Source organism: Homo sapiens, chromosome 6 (genome assembly GCF_000001405.40).
Source record: "Homo sapiens chromosome 6, GRCh38.p14 Primary Assembly".
NCBI classification, from domain to species: Eukaryota; Metazoa; Chordata; class Mammalia; order Primates; family Hominidae; genus Homo; species Homo sapiens.
In genome coordinates this window covers 159,828,876-159,832,987 of record NC_000006.12, presented here as the reverse complement: position 1 = coordinate 159,832,987, position 4,112 = coordinate 159,828,876, and the positions used below count along the sequence as shown (strand labels likewise).

The window sequence follows — 4,112 nt, the reverse complement described above, 5'->3', positions numbered from 1 at the left end:
AAGACATTGTGCCTACAGGTCTGGGTGTGGCTAACCATGGACCAGCCTCCAAGGCTTCTCATAAATCCCTGTCAAACTCCTCATGTTGACGTTGAACCCAGGGAAATTACTAGAGCAAACGGTCTCCAAACTATTTCAATCCTATTTCCTTATCACTGAAACAAAGCTGAGGACAAACCCTGGCTGTGCACATGTATTAATAATGTACATACATGTATTCCATGTACTAATATATTGCATATATGATAAAACACACAAAATAAGAAAATTACTATTATTATATTTTTAGACATGGAGTCTCCTTATGTTGCCCAGGCTGATCTCGAACTCCTGGGCTCAAGCAATCCTCCTGCCTCAGCCTCCCAAAGTGTTGGGATTACAGGTGTGAACCATTGTGCCCACAAAATAGGAAATTTAAAGGGAGGGGTGTGCATTGTTAGGGAACCCAGGCACCCTGGCCCTCAGCCTGGCCCTGCAGCTCTGGATGAGGCTCTCATCTCCTTCTTCCACCTTTCTGCTTTCCCTAATCCCCAATAAAGGAGAAACAACAGCATTGTGTCATTCACAGGCACAGAGATAAAACAATTTAGATACAACCAGATGGCAACTCTGATGCATGACAGGTGAAGCCCAAAATTGGGACTTAGCCCGGAAGGGTTCTTGGCTTCCCCCAGGAAAGAATTCAAGAGCTACCCAGTGGTGTTCAACAGCAACTTGTATTGAAGCCACAGCATCCAGGAGCAGCAGAGGCACTGCTCCTTGCGGTACAGGGCACTCTCCAGGAAGTGTGTCCAGAGGAGCAGCTCAGATTTAGGGCTGCACTAATATTTACACCCACTTTTAATTATACATGAATTAGGGGGTGGTTTATGCAGAAATTTCTAGGATGAGGGTGGTAACTTCCTGATCACTGGGTCATTGCCATGGAAAGGCGCAATAATTTTTGGGTGTCGCCATGGCAATGGTAAACTGACATGGCACACTGATGGGTGTGTTTTCTGGAAAACTGCTTCCCCTATAACCTGTTTTAGCTAGTCCTCAGTTTGGCCCGGTGTCTGAGCCCTGCCTCCGGAGTCAAGTCCCACCTTCTACCTCAACTCCACACCTTGGCTCAGGCCAAAACTTTATCATTCTTGACCCCTCTTTCTCTTAACTCCACATTCACTCTGTCAGGACATCATAGCAGCTCCACTGTCAAAATACACCCAGATCTAGAGCCCCTGCACACCTCCCCACTGGGCCACAGCCACCTCTTTTGCCTTCCTCCTTCCCTAGTCAGCCAGACCTTATCACCCTGAGCTGGCAGCCCCTCAATGGCTCACACCTCTGCTGAGAAGTCAAAGCAATCACCAGTGCCTTCTGTGCCCCACCTGACCGGCCCTCCACTTCTTCCCTGGCCTTGGCTCCTGCCTCACCCACCCAAGTTCTCTCAGCCATCCTGGTGGCTGGAGCCTCTTTGCAGGGCCAGGTGCTTCCACTGGGCCCTGGGCCAGACAGCACCTGGAGCTCTGTCCACAGCCGGGCAGGTGTCTCAGCCCTGATCTCTGCCAGGTCTCTGCTCAGGCATCCCCTTCTCTGCGCACCCTGCCTGAGCACTGGAAGGCAGCACCCGACTTCTCCTCCAAGTTTCTCTGTAACCAGCACTTGATCACCTCACAGGCACTCTCATCTCGTTGCTTGTCTAATGACTCCACACAAATGCAAATTCCTGAATCTTTGCTTTAATGGCTGCAGCCGGGGCATCTGGAACAGTGCCTGGTACAGAGCAGGTACATTTGCATGGAATGAAAGCCTGCGCTCCAGGGTCTTCCAGTATAAAACACATGCAGATTTTAGAGACAGGAACAAGCCCAAATTGATCAATAAGGGAATGGGAGAATGAGTGCTTCCCTTCCTTTTCTGTTTTACACAATACAATATTCCTTTTTTAGTCTTTAAAAAACTATAACCTCTGGCTTCCAGGAGTTCAGAACATCCCATCTGACTACGAGCACAGGTCTCAGCAGGGTCACGCAGGCAGTGGCCACTGCTGCTGCTCCACTGGGCTGAGGACACGGCCTCAGCAGCGAGGAAGGTTTGGGCAGCTCCCTGGGATGGGAAAGAAAGCATCTTTACAAGCTCACATGTCAAAGCCTCTGTGCCCTCCACAAACCCAGCCAGAGCCAACTTGAGAACAACTTTATCTGGCTTGTGCTGCCCAGAGAATACTTGTTTTTGGATCTCCACTTTCTCACGATCTTTGGCAGAGCCACATCACACACTGGGGGAGCTCTTCTGAGGATTAGGACTAAGTCTACACCAGGGATTCTCTCCCAGGGGAGAGTAGGGACAGAGTAGGCAGCTGTGTGCCAGAGAGCTCTCCTACTATCTTGCGCTCAGAGCAGGCTCGGCCCGCAGTTCCCCTCACAGTGTCTTCCTCAGAAACACTATTGCCAGCAGGCAAATGTTTGAATCTGGTTCTTCCTGTAGGAAAAAGGGATAAAGGCAAACAATAGCAAGAGCTGGGGCAGGGATGGGGCAGAATGAGGGACCTCTAGGGGAGCTTCCGAATGCTGAAATCGGGTGAAGCCATCCAGCACCGCGGCAGAGCTTCCAGAACAGCGACGCAGGAGACTGGGTGGATGGTGGGTGCTGGGTCACCGTGGTGGCCACGCAGTCTGCAAGGCCTGTAACCAGCTCAGCCGCATCAGACCCTGCTTCCTGGGCAGGGCTAACCCCACTCACTGCGCAGGGCTAACCCCACTCACTGGGGAGTATGAGGTAGGAATAGCACTTACCTGGGCAGGTGCTTCATCAGTGTGTCGCTGGAGAATGTGGCAGGCAGAATAATGGCTCCCCAAAGATGCCCAGTGCCCACAGCCTAACCCCAGAACCTGTGAGTATAGCACCTGATGTGGCAAGAGGGACTCTACAGACATAATTAAGGGCTTTGAGATGGGGAGTTTATCCAGGGTCATCCGAGGAGGAGGGTCCGCCTAATCACATGGGTCTTAAAGCATGGCAAAGCATTCCCTGCTGTGGTCAGAGGAGACGAAGCTACAGAAAGATCGATCAGAGAGATTCCACATTGCTGCTGCTGAAGATGGAGGAACAGGGCCACGATCCTGGGAATGTTGGTGACCTCTAGAAGCTGGAAAAGGGGAGGAAGCAGCTTCTCTCTGAGGCCTCTGGAAGGGCACACAGCCCTTCCGCCCCGACTTCTTGATTTTAGCCCCGAGAGCTGTGTTGGACTTCTAACCTCCAGAAATGCAAAATGGTAATTGTGTGCTATTTTAAGCCACTACATTTGTGATGACTTGTTACAGCAGGAAACAGGAAACTAATGTAAAGAAGTAGGCATGACTGTGTCCAGTAAAATGCAATTAAATAAGAACTAAAGATATTTCACAGGGCTGTCCCCACAAGCAGGACAAGAGAGCTCTATTTTCAACAAAAAAATTTTAATGCATTTTCATGTTTAAAGTGATAGAAATACATGCTCATTGTAAAAAAAAAAATGGTAAAAAGATCCCTAAATATACAGAAAATAAAACCATATGGTCCACCTACTCTGGGTAGCCCCCACCAAGACTTCTGTGCGTTTTCTTTCAGCTTTAAGTTCACTTTTTTTTTTCTTTTCTTTTTTTTTTTTGGAGACAGGGTCTCACTCTGTCAGGCTAGAGTACAGTGGTGCGTGATCTTGGCTCACTGCAACCTCTACCTCCCAGGCTCAAGTGGTCCTCCCACCTCATTCTCCTGAGTAGCTGGGACCACAGGTGGGTACCATGATGCCCGGCTAACTTTTTGTATTTTTGGTAGAGATGGGGTTTTGCCATGTTGCCCAGCCTGGGATGGAACTCCTGAGCTCAGGCAATCCAACTGCCTCAGCCTAAATGCTGGAATTACATGTGTGAGCCACTGTGCCTGGCCTTTAAGTTCACTTTCATTTTTTATTTTTTGAGATGGAGTTTCACTCGTCGCCCAGGTTGGAGAGCAGTGGCGCGATCTCAGCTCACTACAGCCTCCGCCTCCTGAATTCAAGTGATTCTCCTGCTTCAGCCTCCTGAGTAGCTGGGATGACAGGCACTCACCACCACACCCAGCTAATTTTTGTGTTTTTCTTTAGTAGATAC

The 4,112-nt window shown here is 49.6% G+C and overlaps 1 annotated feature.

Moving 5' to 3' along the window:
- Positions 1,750-2,483: an enhancer, noted in NCBI's record as "NANOG-H3K27ac-H3K4me1 hESC enhancer chr6:160251537-160252270 (GRCh37/hg19 assembly coordinates)". NCBI's record gives its function as "activates a minimal SCP1, AML or CMV promoter by ChIP-STARR-seq in primed H9 embryonic stem cells {active_cell/tissue: H9 hESC(primed)}" and the evidence as "EXISTENCE:reporter gene assay evidence [ECO:0000049][PMID:30033119]".